General features: G+C 52.6%; 1 protein-coding gene across 1 annotated transcript in view, besides 7 other annotated features; it reads left to right on the top strand.

Annotated features, from left to right (window-relative positions):
• Nucleotides 8,073-8,597: an enhancer, noted in NCBI's record as "H3K27ac-H3K4me1 hESC enhancer chr1:6455464-6455988 (GRCh37/hg19 assembly coordinates)". NCBI's record gives its function as "activates a minimal SCP1, AML or CMV promoter by ChIP-STARR-seq in primed H9 embryonic stem cells {active_cell/tissue: H9 hESC(primed)}" and the evidence as "EXISTENCE:reporter gene assay evidence [ECO:0000049][PMID:30033119]".
• Nucleotides 9,350-9,860: an enhancer, noted in NCBI's record as "H3K27ac hESC enhancer chr1:6454201-6454711 (GRCh37/hg19 assembly coordinates)". NCBI's record gives its function as "activates a minimal SCP1, AML or CMV promoter by ChIP-STARR-seq in primed H9 embryonic stem cells {active_cell/tissue: H9 hESC(primed)}" and the evidence as "EXISTENCE:reporter gene assay evidence [ECO:0000049][PMID:30033119]".
• Nucleotides 9,861-10,373: an enhancer, noted in NCBI's record as "H3K27ac hESC enhancer chr1:6453688-6454200 (GRCh37/hg19 assembly coordinates)". NCBI's record gives its function as "activates a minimal SCP1, AML or CMV promoter by ChIP-STARR-seq in primed H9 embryonic stem cells {active_cell/tissue: H9 hESC(primed)}" and the evidence as "EXISTENCE:reporter gene assay evidence [ECO:0000049][PMID:30033119]".
• Nucleotides 9,861-10,923: a biological region, named in NCBI's record as "H3K27ac hESC enhancers GRCh37_chr1:6453176-6453687 and GRCh37_chr1:6453688-6454200".
• Nucleotides 10,114-10,563: a silencer, noted in NCBI's record as "silent region_152". NCBI's record gives its function as "represses an Ori minimal core promoter by ATAC-STARR-seq in GM12878 lymphoblastoid cells {active_cell/tissue: GM12878}" and the evidence as "EXISTENCE:reporter gene assay evidence [ECO:0000049][PMID:35858748]".
• Nucleotides 10,234-15,254, top strand: part of ACOT7 (acyl-CoA thioesterase 7) — a 129,496-nt gene continuing 124,475 nt past the window's right edge. The window contains exon 1 of the mRNA NM_007274.4: nt 10,234-10,744. Coding sequence (NP_009205.3) covers nt 10,602-10,744 — 143 coding nt within the window. The 5' untranslated portion in view covers nt 10,234-10,601. The remainder of the gene's footprint in view (nt 10,745-15,254) is intronic.
• Nucleotides 10,374-10,885: an enhancer, noted in NCBI's record as "H3K27ac hESC enhancer chr1:6453176-6453687 (GRCh37/hg19 assembly coordinates)". NCBI's record gives its function as "activates a minimal SCP1, AML or CMV promoter by ChIP-STARR-seq in primed H9 embryonic stem cells {active_cell/tissue: H9 hESC(primed)}" and the evidence as "EXISTENCE:reporter gene assay evidence [ECO:0000049][PMID:30033119]".
• Nucleotides 10,834-10,923: a silencer, noted in NCBI's record as "silent region_151". NCBI's record gives its function as "represses an Ori minimal core promoter by ATAC-STARR-seq in GM12878 lymphoblastoid cells {active_cell/tissue: GM12878}" and the evidence as "EXISTENCE:reporter gene assay evidence [ECO:0000049][PMID:35858748]".

The raw sequence follows: 15,254 nt of genomic DNA, 5'->3' as shown, positions 1-15,254 counted from the left end.
AAAAATCAAAAGAATTAGCTGGCCATGGTTGGTGGTGCACACCTGTAGTCCCAGCTACTCAGGAGGCTCAGGTGGGAGAACCTCTTTAGTCCAGGAGGTTGAGGCTGCAGTGAGCTGTGATCATGCCACTGTACTCCAGCCTGGGGGACAGAGCAAGACATTGTCTCAAAGAAAAAAAAAAAAAGGCCGGGTGCGGTGGCTCACCCCTGTAATCCCAGCACTTTGGGAGGCCGAGGTGGGTGGATCACCTGAGGTCAGGAGTTCGAGACCAGCCTGACCAACATGGAGAAACCCTGTCTCTACTAAAAATAGAAAATTAGCCAGGCATGGTGGCACATGGCATGCCTGTAATCCCAGCTGCTTGGGAGGCTGAGGCAGGAGAATCTCTTGAACCCGAGAGGCGGAGTCTGTGGTGAGCTGAGATGGCACCATTGCACTCCAGCCTAGGCCACAAGAGCAAAATTCCGTCTCAAAAAAAAAAAAGGTTCAGTTAGGAGGAGAGGCTGTTCCTTTTTTTTTTTTTTTTTTGAGATGGTCTTACTCTGATGTCCAGATGATCTCCCCAGGCTCAGGAGATCCTCCCGCCTCAGCCTCCCATGTAGCTGGTACCACAGGTGCACACCACCATGCCCGGCTAATTTTTTTTTTTTTTTGAGACGGGGTTTTGCCATGTTGCCCAGGCTGGTCTGGAACTCCTAGGCTCAAGTGATCCACCTGCCTCAGCCTCCCCAAGTGCTGGGATTACAGAGGAGAGCCATCGTGCCCCTCTAAGTAGCCTCTTCTGTTTGTCTTTTAGATGTGTCGGCCCTTTGGGAACAGAAGACTATGTGTATGCTTCAGCATTTACTCACATTTCCTGCTGGCAACAGACTTAGGGTCTTGTCTATTCAATTCCATGGACAAGAGGAATAATCATGAAGTGTCTATCATCTCTGCAGAGGATAAACACAAGAGCTAAATTCATTAACATGAAAGAAACACAGTGGCTGTGTGAACAGAGCGGCTCTCCGGCTGCATCCTGTATGATTCCTGGGAGGCTGTGATGGCAGACCCTGGAGAATCCTGCAGTGTCCTCCTCTTGTGTGAATCCCAGCTTGAACCAGTTAGGGTCTTCTCCTTGGGCCAAGGTGATCTGAATCCCTCCCATCTGGTCAAACGCATCCATTCCTGCAGCCCCCAGGACCCCAGGGCTGCTTGGCTTCTCAAGCTGATTCACAAAGCTGTACACAGCCCTTCCTCTATGCCAGGCCCTGTTCCACACACCTTTCTTTTTTTCTTTTTTTTTTTTTTTTGAGACGGAGTCTCGCTCTGTTACCCAGGCTGGAGTGCATTGGTGTGATCTTGGCTCACTGCAATTTCTGCTTCCTGGGTTCAATCAATCCTCCCACCTCAGCCTCCAGAGTAGCTGGGACTGCAGGTGTGTGCCACCACAACCGGCTAATTTTTTTTCTTTTTTTTCAGACGGAGTCTCGCTCTGTCGCCCAGGCTGGAGTGCAATGGTGTGATCTCGGCTCACTGCAAGCTCTGCCTCCCTGGTTCATGCCATTCTCTAGCCTCAGCCTCCCGAGTAGCTAGGACTACAGGTGCCCGCCACCACGCCCGGCTAATTTTTTTTTTTTTTTTGTATTTTTAGTAGAGGCGGGGTTTCACTGTGTTAGCCAGGATGGTCTCAATCTCCTGACCTCGTGATCCACCTGCCTCAGCCTCCCAAAGTACTGGGATTACAGGCGTGAGTCACTGCACACTCGGCTAATTTTTTAATTTTTTGTGGAGGTGGGGTCTCTGTATGTTGCCCAGGCTGGTCTTGAACCCCTGGCCTCAAGTGATCCTCCTGCCTTGGCCTCCCAAAGTGCTGGGATTCCAGGAGTCAGCCACTGAGCCTGGTCCTCTTCTATTTTAGAGCTCTGAGTTATATAAATCTTCAGTTCAAAAACTGACATTTATTATGTTTAATGGAGTCAAATACACTAATAGTTAATATTTTAGAATGCTTAATTGCATGTCTTCCCTTACTTGTTCAGTTCTCACAGCACTATGATCACATTACTGATGAAGCAACCTGCCCAGTGAGTGGGTAGGTGACCTGCCTGGGTAGGAAGTAAAGCTATGATACAGAATTTTGACTGGATGGTCCACACCCTTAACCACGAGGCAGGCTCACTACTTCCTTAAAAATATAAAGAAAGAGGCCGGCCTTGGTGGCTTACGCATGTAATCCCAGCACTTTGGGAGGTCAAGGCAGGCGGAACACAAGGTCAGGAGATGGAGACCATCCTGGCTCACACGGTGAAATGCTGTCTTTACTAAAAATACAAAAAATTAGCCGGGTGTGGTGGCACATGCCTGTAGTTCCAGCTACTCGGGAGGCTGAGGCAGGAGAATCCCTTGAACCCAGGAGGCGGAGGTTTGCAGTGAGCTGAGATTGTGCCAGCGACAGCCTGGGCAACAGAGTGAGACTCTGTTTCAAAAAAAAAAAAAAAATTTAAAGAAAGAAAATTGTCCACAACCTCACATCCCAGATATTCCCATTAATTTAAAAAAATTGGAACATAAACATAAAAATGCATAAAACATATGCACAATGTAAAACATTTATTGTAAGCATGTACACTATTCCCCAGGTCAAGAAAACATGAACACTCCCGACCCCCAGGTGATCCCCCAGCGCAATCCTCTCGCTTCCGTTGAGAGGTACCCGCTATCCTGAGTTTTGTGATAATAATTTCCTTGTTCTTTATAGCTTTACCACCTACTTATGTTCTCCTAACAGAGTTTTAGATCATTGCGTGTGTGGCATGATACTATAGGTATTCGTTGGTTTTTTTCTTTTGTTTTTTTTTTTTTTTGTTGTTGTTGTTTTTGAGACGGAGTCTTGCATTGTCAACTGGGCTGGAGTGCAAAGGCGTGATCTTGGCTCACTGCAACCTCTGCCTCCTGGGTTCAAGCGATTCTCCTGCCTCAGTCTCCCGAGTAGAGAAGGGTTTTTTTTTTTTTTTGAGACGGAGTCTCACTCAGTCGCCCAGGCTGGAGTACAGTGGCATGATCTTGGCTCACTGCAAGCTCACAGGCATGAGCCACCGCGCCCGGCCGAGAAGGGGTTTCATCTTGTTGGCCAGATCGGTCTTTTTTTTTTTTTTTTTTTCTGAGACGGAGTCTCGCTCTGTTGCCCAGGCTGGAGTGCAATGGCGGGATCTCGGCTCACTGCAAGCTCCGCCTCCCAGGTTCATGCCATTCTCCTGCCTCAGCCTCCCGAGTAGCTGGGACTACAGGTGCCCACCACCACGCCCAGCTAATTTTTTGTATTTTTAGTAGAGACGGGGTTTCACTATGTTAGCCAGACTGGTCTTGAATTCCTGACCTCGTGATCTGCCCACCTTGGCCCGCCAAAGTGCTGGGATTACAGGCGTGAGCCACCGTGCCCGGCCAGGGATTCTTTTATATCTTCCTCCTTTTCCTCAATATTATGATTCCTGGCCAGGCATGGTGGCTCACACCTGAAATCCCAGCGTTCTGGGAGGCCAAAGTGGGGAGACTGCTTGAGCCCAGGAGTTCAAGACCAGCCTGGGCAACATGGTGAGAACCCCATTTCTACAAAAAATAGAAAAACAGCCAGTGGCGTGTGCCTGGGGTTTCAGCTACTTGAGATGCCGAGGTGGGAGGACCGCTGAAGCCAGTGAGGTACAGGCAGCAGTGAGTCTTTTTTTTGAGATGGGGTCTCACTTCATGCCCAGGCTGGAGTGCAGTGGCGCGACCTTGAGTCACTGCAGCCTCCGCCCTCTGGGTTCAAGTGATTCTCCTGCCTCAGCCTCCCGAGTAGCTGGGACTACAGGTGCGCGCTGCCGTGCCCAGCTAATTTTTGTATTTTTAGTAGAGATGGGGTTTCACCATCTTGGCCAGGATGATCTTGAACTCCTGACCTCGTGATCTGCCTGCCTCGGCCTCTTAAAGTACTGGGATTACAGGCGTGAGCCACCACGCCCAGCCCTATTTAAACCATATATAGATATATACATATTTTTTCTTTTTTTTTTTTTGAGACAAAGTCTTGCTCTGCGGCCCAGGCTGGAGTGCAGTGGTGGGATCTCGGCTTACCGTAAGCTCCGCCTCCCAGGTTCAAGCCATTCTCCTGCCTCAGCCTCCTGAGTAGCTGGGACTACAGGCGCCCGCCATCACGCCCGGCTAATTTTTTGTATTTTTAGTAGAGATGGGGTTTCACCGTGTTAGCCAGTATGGTCTTGATCTCCTGACCTTGTGATCTGCCCACCTCGGCCTCCCAAAGTGCTGGGATTACAGGCATGAGCCACTGCGCCCGGCCTAAACCATATATTTAAAGATAGTTTAAAATATTTAAAGATTGTTTAAAGTGACAGTTTGTCAATATTTTTAAAGAGTATAAGCTAAATATAATGAATTAATATCTGCTGTTGATATAATAATTATCTCTATGAAGTCATTCATAAAATATTTATTGAGTACCTACTATGTGCTAGGCACTCTTCTTGGAGCTTGGGATACAGCAGTGAATAAAACAGTAAAAAATTCCTGCTCTATACCTTCTAGTTGGGGGAGAGGCAATAAACATATGGGTGCAATACGTATTAAATGGTGTTAGGTGCTAACGAGAAAAATAAACCAGGGAGGAAAACTGGGAGTACTGGAGAAGAGTGGGGGGACTGCAATGGGCCTAATAGAGAATGGCTGGGGAAGGCCTTATTTAGAAGGTGATGTTTGCCTGAGTAAAGGGTGGCCCAGGCAGAGGAAGGAGCAAGCGTGAAGCCTCTGAGATATGTCCGGCACATTCGAAGACTGTCCGGGAGCTCAGGGTGGCTGGAGCTAAGTGAGCCAGGGGAGAGAGCTCATGAGGTCAGAAGCGTGGATGTGGCTGTGGGGCAGAACCCTGAATGCCACAGTGAGGACTGTTCAGATCCCAGATTCATTGTGAAGGCAGAGCTTGCAGGATGTGCTGATGGTTTGGATGAGGGGTGTGAGGGAGAGAGAGAGTCACGGGTGACTCCTTGGGTCTTGGCTTGACCAACTGGAGGGACGGGACTGCAATTTCCTGGGATGGCCATTTCTGAGGGGCATCAGGACAAGGTGAGTGTCGGGTACCTGCCATGCAACCAAAGTGAGATTTGGTGCAGACAAGGGATACATGGATCTGGAATTTAGGGGAGAGCTCTGAGCTGGCCAGAGATATGTATTATACAGATGGGACTTAAAGTGATGAGACAGGCTGGGTGCAGTGGCTCATGCCTGTAATCCCAGGACTTTGGGAGGCCAAGGCGGACAGATCACCTGAGATCGCGAGTTCAAGACCAGCCTGGCCAACATGGTGAAACCCTGTCTCTACTAAAAATAAAAAAATTAGCTGAGTGTGGTGGTGGGGGCCTGTAATTCCAGCTACTCTGGAGGCTGGAGCACGACAATCTCTTGAACCCGGGTGGCAGAGGTTGCAGTGAGCCGAGATCGCGCCACTGCACTCCAGCCTGGGCAGCAGAGCGAGACTTTGTCTCAAAAAAATAAAAATAACAATAAATTTAGAGTGATGAGACAGCCAGGCATGGTGGCTCATGCCTGTAATCCCAGCACTTTGGTTTGGGAGGCCAGGATGGGTGGATCGCTTGAGCCCAGGAGTTCGAGACCAGCCTGACCAGACTCTATAAAGAAATACAAAAAATAGCCGGGCATGGTGGTGTGTGCCTGTGGTCTCAGCTACTCAGGAGGCTGATGTGGGAGGATCATGTGAGCCCAGGAGGTCGAGGCTGCAGTGAGTTGTGATTGCACCACTGTGCTCCAGCCTGGGTGACAGAATGAAACCCTGTCTGAAGGAAAAAAAAAAAAAAGTGATGAGACAGAATGAGACCTCAAGAGTTCAAGCACTGCTTGGGGCTTGTCTAAAGTTCTGACAGGAGGCAGGGAGGCAGTGCCAGCAGAGCAGGCTGAGCAGTGGCCAGCGAGGGAGGAAGACGGACGTGAGGGAGGAGCGCTTCCAGGATAGGGAGGTCACATCTGCTCAATGCCGTTGAGAGGTCAAGGAAAATGACTTCTGACAACAGATTATCGGATTTAGCAACTTGGAAGGAATTAGTGACCTTGATAGATTGACTGGTAGAATCAAAAACCAAACTGGAACAGGTTCAAAGGAGGATGGGAGGTGAGGGGAGAGGGTGTGTGTGTAAGCAGCTCTTTTGAGATGTTTTGCTGAAAGCAGGGATAGAAATGGCCCATAGCTTGAGGAGCAAGTAGAAAATAGCCTAACACGAGAAGGTGAGACTGTGGAAGGTGCAAAATCAGTGTAAATCCATTAGCACTATGGCCAAAATCATTCACAAGGTTTTTGCTGAGGAATTGGGCGCCCCCATTGCCATCCTTAAAAACAGGGCAACATCATAAGTAGTAATCTGGAGCACTATTTTCTTTCTACAGTGCAGAATGGGTACATGATAATCTCTGGGCTGAGCTGTTATCTTTTCTGGGTCCCTCTACCACCTTCGGGGTAGTGATGTGAGCAGGAGGGACAGATGCTGTCTCAGGTGGAAGGGTAGCCACACCCTTTCCCAAAAGTATAGGAACTGTTCCAGATCACTTTTTGGCCTCACTCTGGAGGGCCCAGGCTATTTCATTCTAAACCACTTGGCCCATCCTTGTCTAAGATTCCCTCTGGTTCAGTGTGTGGCTGGAATCTGGCTTTTTGTGTCCCTGATTTGTGTCCCAAGCAGCATTTGAACTTTTTTTTTTTTTAAGAGACAGAGTCTATGTTGCCCAGGCTGGAGTGCAGTGGCTGTTTACAGGAGCCATCAGAGGGCACTGCAGCCTCAAACTCCTAGGTTCAGGGGATCCTCTTGCCTCAGCCTCCTGGGATTATGGGTGCAAGCCCCCATGCCAGGCAGATTTAGAAGATTTTGAACAATGAAGTGTCTGTAATGCTCAGAGGAGCAAGCACACCTATACAGGGAGCATGGGGTCTTAGTAAATTCTTGCTGCACTCATAGCTGGGGGAAGAGCAGTATAGAGAAACAGAAGGTTTGAGGAGGGAAGAGGAAGAAAGGCCCTACCTCAGCCTGCCAAGTAGTCCTCACAACGGTCAGGAAAGTATTTATCACCCCCATATCATAGGTAAAGAAACTGCCAGGCTGGGAACAGTGATGCACACCTGTAATCATAGCACTTTGAGAGGCTAAGGCAGGTGGATCACTTGAGCCCAGGAGTTCAAGACCAGCTTGGGCAATGTGGTGAGGCTCCTTCTATACAGAAAAGTACAAAAATTAGCTGAGCATGGTGGCACATGCCTGTGGCTCCAGCTACTCAGGAGGCTGAGGTGGGAGGGCTGCTTGAGCTCTGGAGGCAGAAGCTGCAGTGAGCAGGGATTGTGCCACTGTACTCCAGCCTGGGTGACAGAGCCAAGACTCTGTCTCAAAAGATTTAAAAAAAAAAAAAAAAAAAAAAAGGAAACTACCTTGCCTGAGGCTCTAAATCTAGTTACTGCTTCCAACCATTTCAGGATTCAATTGGGAAGAGGTGGTGTTTGAACAGGCTTGGGGGCCCTTGATGCTTGCATCAACTTAATTCTCACTAAAAAACAAAAGTCTGCGTCCGGACGAGGTGGCTCAGGCCTGTAATCCCAGCACTTTGGGAGGCTGGGGTGGGTGGATCACCTGAGGTCAGGAGTTCAAGACCAGCTTGGCCAACATGGTGAAACCCTATCTGTGAGAGGTGACAGCATGCTGGCAGTCCTCACAGCTCTCGCTCGCTCTCAGCGCCTCCTCTGCCTGGGCTCCCACTTTGGCGGCACTTGAGGAGCCCTTCAGCCTGCCGCTGCACTGTGGGAGCCCCTTTCTGGGCTGGCCAAGGCCGGACCCGGCTCCCTCAGCTTGCGGTGTGGTGTGGAGGGAGAGTCGTGGGCGGAACCGGAGCTGCGAGCGGTGCTTGCGGGCCAGGGCGAGTTCCAGGTGGGCGTGGGCTCGGCGGGCCTCGCACTCGGAGCCGCGGCCGTCCCCGCCGGCCCCGGGCAGTGAGGGGCTTAGCACCTGGGTCAGCAGCTGCTGTGCTCAATTTCTCGCAGGGCCTTAGCTGCCTTCCCCCGGGGCAGGGCTCGGGACCCGCAGCCCGCCATGCCTGAGCCTCCCCCCACTCCATGGGCTCCTGTGCGGCCCGAGCCTCCCCAATGAGCACCGCCCCCTGCTCCACGGCACCCAGTGCCATCGACCACCCAAGGGCTGAGGAGTGTGGGCACACAGTGCGGGACTAGCAGGCAGCTCCACCTGCAGCCCCAGTGCGGGACCCACTGGGTGAAGCCAGCTGGGCTCCTGAGTCTGGTGGGGACATGGAGAACCTTTATGTCTAGCTAAGGGATTGTAAATACACCAATCGGCACTCTGTATCTAGCTCAAGGTTTGTAAACACACCAATCAGCACCCTGTGTCTAGCTCAGGGTTTGTGAATGCACCAATCAACACTCTGTATCTAACTACGCTGGTGGGGACTTGGAGAACCTTTGTGTCGACACTCTATCTAGCTAATCTGGTGGGGACATGGAGAACCTTTGTGTCTAGCTCAGGGATTGTAAACACACCAATCAGCACCCTGTCAAAACAGACCACTCTGCTCTACCAATCAGCAGGATGTGGGTAGGGCTAGATGAGAGAATAAAAGCAGGCTGCCCGAGCCAGCAGTGGCAACCCACTCTGGTCCCCTTCCACGCTGTAGGAGTGTTGTTCTTTCGCTCTTTGGGTCCACACTGCCTTTATGAGCCGTTAACATTCACTGTGAAGGTCTGCAGCTTCACTCCTGAGCCAGGGAGACCACGAACCCACCAGAAGGAAGAAACTCCAGATGCGCCACCTTAAGAGCTGTAACACTCACCACGAGGGTCCGCGGCTTCATTCTTGAAGTCGGTGAGACCAAGAACCCACCAATTCTGGACACATCTGTACTAAAAATACAAAAATAAGCCAAACGTGGTGGTGCATGCCTATGGTCCCAGCTACTCAGTGTGGTTGAGGCAGGAGAATTGCTTGAAACTGGATGGCAGAGGTTACAGTGAGCTATCACACCACTGCATTCCAGCCTGGGCGACAGAACGAGACTCTATATCAAAAAAAGAAAACAGGCCAGGCGTGGTGGCTCACGCCTGTAATCCCACCACTTTGGGAGGCAGAGGCGGGCAGATCACAAGGTCAGGAGATCAAGACCATCCTGGCTAACACAGTGAAACCCCGTCTCTACTAAAAATACAAAAAATTAGCCGGGCGTGGTGGCAGGCGCCTGTAGTCCCAGCTACTTGGGAGGCTGAGGCAGGAGAATGGCGTGAACCTGGGAGGCGGAGCTTGCAGTGAGCTGAGATTGCACCACTGCACTCCAGCCTGGGCAACAGAGCAAGACTCCGTCTCAAAAAAAAAAAAAAAAAAAGAAAACAGAAAAACAAAATTCTTAGTATAAAAGTCTTGAAATCACAGAGTTCTGACTTTGACTGCCCCTGCTTCTGGGAGCTACAGATCATGCTGTGGGCTGCCTCCACGGTCTGGTAACTCAAGGGTGACCGGGGTGAGGCACAGTTCCTTCAGAGCTACCTAGCTGAGTGTAAATGGGTTGTTCAAATTGCACTAGGGAGCCGGAGTTGCGTGGGTTTTAATTTAAAGATGTAAGTACAAATCTATGTGCATTGTAGAAAATTCGGAAAAGGTCCAACTGCCTAGCAAGTAAAAAGCTGTCATTCCAGCACGTGGGGGGTGACCGCTTCTCCCTTCTTGGGTGTTTTTTGGTGGATTTTTTTTGGTGACCCCGACTGGCCTAGACTCCATTCAAGGGCACATCTTGTGCAGTAAAACACGCATGTTTCAGGGCTCCTCACTGCAACACGTGCACCTCCAGGCTGGCGCTCAGCGCTCCCAGTAAAAGCTGCAGGCGGCGGTGTAGATAGTCGCCGGCCTTTCCTCCTCCCCACCTCGTGACGCTTTGTGCTGCGGAAGCAAAGGCCCGTTCCATTCCCCGTGTCTTCCCAGCAGCCGCCACCAATGCTCCTTTCTAGGAAACAGCCTTCCATTCTCTCTTAGGGCCGATCTTAGCGAGAGCCGCGATGCGGGCGACTGGTGCCGGGGTGGGTTGGGGGCGGGGGTGGGAATCAGGCCCCACTGCCAGGAGCCCGGGCCGCGCCTTCCGCTCTGACCTCATCCGGCCGCCCAGGCACTGGGCGCGGCAGCGAATCGGCGGCGCGGGCGGCCGGGAACGCCCAGCACAAATATTTACCGCCGCGCGGAGAGTGAGGGCCCAAGTCCGCCCTGCTCCGCCACTTAGGCCGCCCCAGACGCTTCCCTCGGGGCTGCCACCGGGTCGGGCGCGGCTGCCGCGGCTAGCGGGCCTTCCCCGCACCGGCGCGGCCCAACCGCCACCGAACCTTCTGGAAGCGGCGGCTGCCTGGGCCCCCACGCCGCCAGAATCGTACGCCCGCGCGAGCTCTCTGCAGCCTTGGCGGCCTGGGAGGCGGGGCTCGGGGTGGGGCCGGCGCGGGGGCGGGGTCGGCGCGGGGAGGCCGCGTTCGATTGCCCCCGGCGCGCAGGCCCCGCCTCACCAGCCCCATCGCTCCACCTCTGCCCTCCCCCTTTATGGCGCGGCCCGGGCTCATTCATTCCGCGCCGGGCCTGCCAGACACCTGCGCCCTTCTGCAGCCGCCCGCCGCATCCGCCGCCGCAGCCCCCAGCATGTCGGGCCCAGACGTCGAGACGCCGTCCGCCATCCAGATCTGCCGGTAAGAGAGGGCCCGCGCGCAGCCTGCAGCGGCCAGGCGCGCCGGTCACCGCCCCAGGCCTGCCCCGCTTGGCTCTGTGGTCCCCACCCGCCGAGGCCGCCCCCGCCCGCCGATTCCCCGCACGGCCTTCCGCGCCGCCGCCCCGGACGCCCGCCCGGCCGGGATGCGACTCGCGATGCCGCACAAGCCGGGCGGCCCCCGCCCGCCTCCAGCCGGCTCCTCCTGGCCGCATCTCCAGGGCGGCGGCCGCGCCACGGGCCGTTTGGGCGAGAAAGCCAGGCAGGGACGGGGCGGGCGGAGGTCAATGCACAGCTCCAGAGCCCGGCGACCGGCGCCCGTGGGCCGCCCCGCCTCGGGCCTCGCCCGAGCATCCCGGAGCCTCAGCCCCGTGGTCCTGCTTAGCCTCCTCGAGGATTCGGGATCATTACCTCGGCGGTTGTGCTGCGCTAACCAAAGCCCCCAGAGGTGGAGGGGAGGTGCCCAGAGCCGCGCGAGCCCCTCGGTGGGTGCCCCTGTGGGAGGAGGTTGCAGAGCTACCGTCTTCAGTGCACTGCTTCGGTTTGGGGGAGGGCAGGTGTTGAAAGGAAGAACAGATAATACTGTCTACCTCTAACAGTTTACTATGAAGAAAAGGGAATCAGTGGTCTGTTGGGCCTGAAAGCATCTTACACAATAGAGGCAAAGGGTTGTCCTTCTAGAGCACCCCCTCTTCTTCCACCAGGTACTGAGTAGATAGATGCAGGCCCCCAGAGGAAGCTGGAGGCTGGAGATCATGAACAAGCTCATTTCCCATAGGAGGTGGGGAGGGCAGCCTGAAGGTTACTCTGCAGTTCTCTTCGGCAGAATCGGAAGCAGCAGGCTGGCATTTGTGCATGAGCTAAGTGAGGACAAGGAGTCTAGGTTTTCAGCCACTGCACACAGGCTCTGTGGCCTGCGACCGGTCCTATCCTGCTTGATGAACTACCAGGAGTGAGAGCTGCTTTCTGTTTTGGTAGTGGGTTCCTCACATTTGGGGGTTGGGCATCACAGACTGACCTTGGGCTCAAGCCAAGTCCAATAGAAGCAAGTTACTTTCCTGTAGATGTTGACATCTCCAGGAAGGCTGGGCATATAGCAAGTCCTGGGTCTATGGCGATTCTTGACTCTCAGTCTCATCTTCTGGCCTGGTCGAGGGCCTCTCCTTACCTCAAGGTCGGTTTTGACTTTTCCAGAGGGGGAACGTCTTTGGGGGAGCCCTGCCCCTTTGACTTTGGCTCTGTGGCTGTTCTGGTCCCATCGACTCTGGAGGTGGGGAAAGCGGGGCAAAAAAAAAAAAGGAAATAACTGGAGACAGACAGCCTGCATCAGGTTCCTGAATCAGCTCTGCTGAGTATTGGCTGGGAAACTTGGGCTCCATGGTTTGCAAAGAGCTTATACCTGTCTCATCCCACTTGGTTTGCCCAATTCCCTGGGAGGTTGATGGTCGGTAGTGCCACCCTTACCTGTGTGGAGGAGGAAATGGCAGTTTTGGGAGTTGAGTAACTGTGTAAGGTCATCCTGCTCCAGGAGATCCAGGGACAGCCCCTGCCCAAGTCTTCTGACTCCAGATCCAGTATTCTTCCCACCCCTCTCCTGAATAAAGGAAACCTTGATTTAAATCTTCCCGTGGAAGGCTGGCCTTTTATTTACTTCTTCAGGGTGGTGAATAGCCAATTTATACATGTTGTCTTTTTTCACCCAGCTTCTAACAGTTACTAGATTTTTTGTTTTTTGAGACAGAGTCTCACTCTGTCACCCGGGCTGGAGTGCAGTGGCCCGATCTCAGCTCACTGCAACCCCTGCCTCCTGGGCTCAAGTGATTCTTGGGCCTCAGCCTCCCGAGTAGCTGGGACTACAAGAGTGCGCCACCACGCCTGGCTAATTTTTGTGTTTTTAGTAGAGATGGGGTTTCTCCATGTTGGCCAGGCTGGTCTCGAACTCCTGACCTCAGGTGATCTGTGATCTGCCCTCCTCGGCCTCCCAAAGTGCTGGGATTACAGGTGTGAACCACCGCACCCAGCTGGAAAAAGTTCTTGTGCCTCAGCCTCCTGAGTAGCTGGGACTACAGGCGTGCGCCACCACGCCCAGCTAATTTTTGTATTTTTAGTAGAGATGGGGTTTCATCATGTTGGCCAGGCTGGTCTTGAACTCCTGACCTCAGGTGATCCTCCCGCCTCAGCCTCTCAAAGTGCTGGGATTACAGGCGTGAGCCACTGCTCCTAGCCTAGTTACTAGATTTTTGTATAGCTTTAGACACTTCCATACAGTAAGTGTGTGCTTTTTGTTTGTTTGTTTGTTTGTTTTTGAGACAGTCTCGCTCTGTCACCCAGACTGGAATGCAATGGCACGATCTCAGCTCACTGCAACCTCTGCCTCCTGGGTTCAAGCGATTCTTCCACCTCAGCCTCCTGAGTTGCTGGGATTATAGGTACCCGCCATCATGTCTGGCTAATTTTTGTATTTTTAGTAGAGACGGGGTTTCACCATGTTGGCCAGGCTGGTCTTGAACTCCTGACCTCAGGTGATCTGCCCGCCTCGGCCTCCCAAAGTGCTGGGATTACAGGCGTGAGCCACTGCGCCTGGCCCGTGTGTGTGCTTTTTCTTACCCACTGTAAACCAAGTCTGCTATCTCAGGTTCACAATTGCATATTGTTTCTTTATTTTTTGGAGATGGAGTCTCACTCTGTCACCCAGGCTGGAGTGCGGTGACACACTCTCGGCTAACTGCAACCTCTGCCTCCTTTGTTCAAGTGATTCTCCTGTCTCAGCCTCCCGAGTAGCTGGGACTACAGGCGTGCACCACCGTGCCCAGCTAATTTTTGTATTTTTAGTAGAGATGGGGTTTCACCATGTTGGCCAGGCTAGTCTCGAACTCCTGACCTTAGATGATCTGCCCGCCTCGGCCTCCCAAAGTGCTGAGAATTACAGGCATGAGCCACCGTGCCTGGCCAATTGCATATTGTTTCTAAGTGGCTGCCTTGGCCAGACGACTGGTGAGGAGGATGCTTGGCTGCCCCTGCTCATGAGTGAGCAGGTGAGCCTCAGGTGCAGAGCGTGACTGCCAAAGGAGTAGGCGGGAGTGGTGGTAGGGGTAGGCCTGTGAAGAGAAGGCTGTGGTTCCATCGGCTTGACTCAGAGAAACCGCAGGACACTGGAGAGTGACTGTACTAGGATGGGGAGCCCTTTAAGGACATCTGAGCTGACACCCCAAGTTGAAAGAGGAGCCTCCTGGCCTAGCACAGCCAAGCCCATGAATTTAACAATGCTTTACTGGACACTGCCAAGAAGCATAGCACCAGGAGGGAAACGTGTGGAAAATGTGGCCCCTGCCTTAAGGGGTCACAGTCTAGCAGGGGTGAGAACGTCCAAATTCCCACCATCTTAGACACAATGGTCACATGTTCTCAGTTCAGACATTGTTGAAGGGATAGGGGCTTTTTTTTCTTTCTTTTTTTTTTTTTTTTGAGAGGGAGTCTTGCCCTGTCCCCCAGGCTAGATGCCATCTCGGCTCACTGCAACCTCTGCCTTCGAGGTTCTACTGATTCTCCTGCCTCAGCCTCCTGAGTAGTTGGGATTACACACGCCCGCCACCACGCCCAGCTAATTTTTTTGTATTTTTTTAGTAGAGATGGAGTTTCACCATGTTGGTCAGGCTGGTCACGAAGGGAACAGAATTTTTAATTGCATCAATTTAAATTCAGGTGGGTAGCCACCTGTGGCTGGTGGCTATCTTTTGGGGAGTGCAATATGTAGAGAAATTTAAACATCAATTTACTAGTAGGTCTGTGGGGGGCAGGGTGTTCCTAAAGGAAGCTCCAAGGCTTTCTGGGGACTGTAGCCAGCTCTGGAATAACCATGCTGATGGAGGGGGACCTTGGCATGGACACCACCCAGCAGGCAGATAACTTGGCATGCTTTATTTATAGGTAGATGTGTGAAATCTACAAGGTTTTTTTGTGTTTTCTTTGCTTGCCATGCTCTTAGATGCAGATCTACCAGGAAGTTTCCTGAGATCAGGAATTGTGTTGTACCATGTGGTACCATGAATGCCTAGAATAGTGTCTGAGGTCTAGTTGACAGGTCAATAAACAGCAGCTGAGTGGCTATGAGTTTCAGTATGTTATGGGGTTAGAATTATTTCCCCCAAGGGAAAAGACAAAGAGGGGCTCTACCTTTGTCTTTTTTTTTTTTTTTTCTTGAGACGGAGTCTCACTCTGTTGCCCAGGCTGGAGTGCAGTGGCGCGATCTCGGCTCACTGCAAGCTCCGCCTCCCGGGTTCACGCCATTCTCCTGCCTCAGCCTCCTGAGTAGCTGGGACTACAGGCATCCGCCACCACACCCGGCTAATTTTTTTTTGTATTTTTATTAGAGATGGGGTTTCACTGTGTTAGCCAGGATGGTCTCGATCTCCTGACCCTGTGGTCCTCCCACCTTGGCCTCCCAAAGTGCTGGGATTACGGGCGTGAGCCACCGCACCCGGCCTTTTTTTTTT

The sequence above is a fragment of the Homo sapiens genome, chromosome 1 (assembly GCF_000001405.40).
Source record: "Homo sapiens chromosome 1, GRCh38.p14 Primary Assembly".
Classification (NCBI taxonomy): domain Eukaryota; kingdom Metazoa; phylum Chordata; class Mammalia; order Primates; family Hominidae; genus Homo; species Homo sapiens.
The sequence above is the reverse complement of the archived record's forward strand: the minus strand, read 5'-3'. Positions and strand labels throughout refer to the sequence as shown.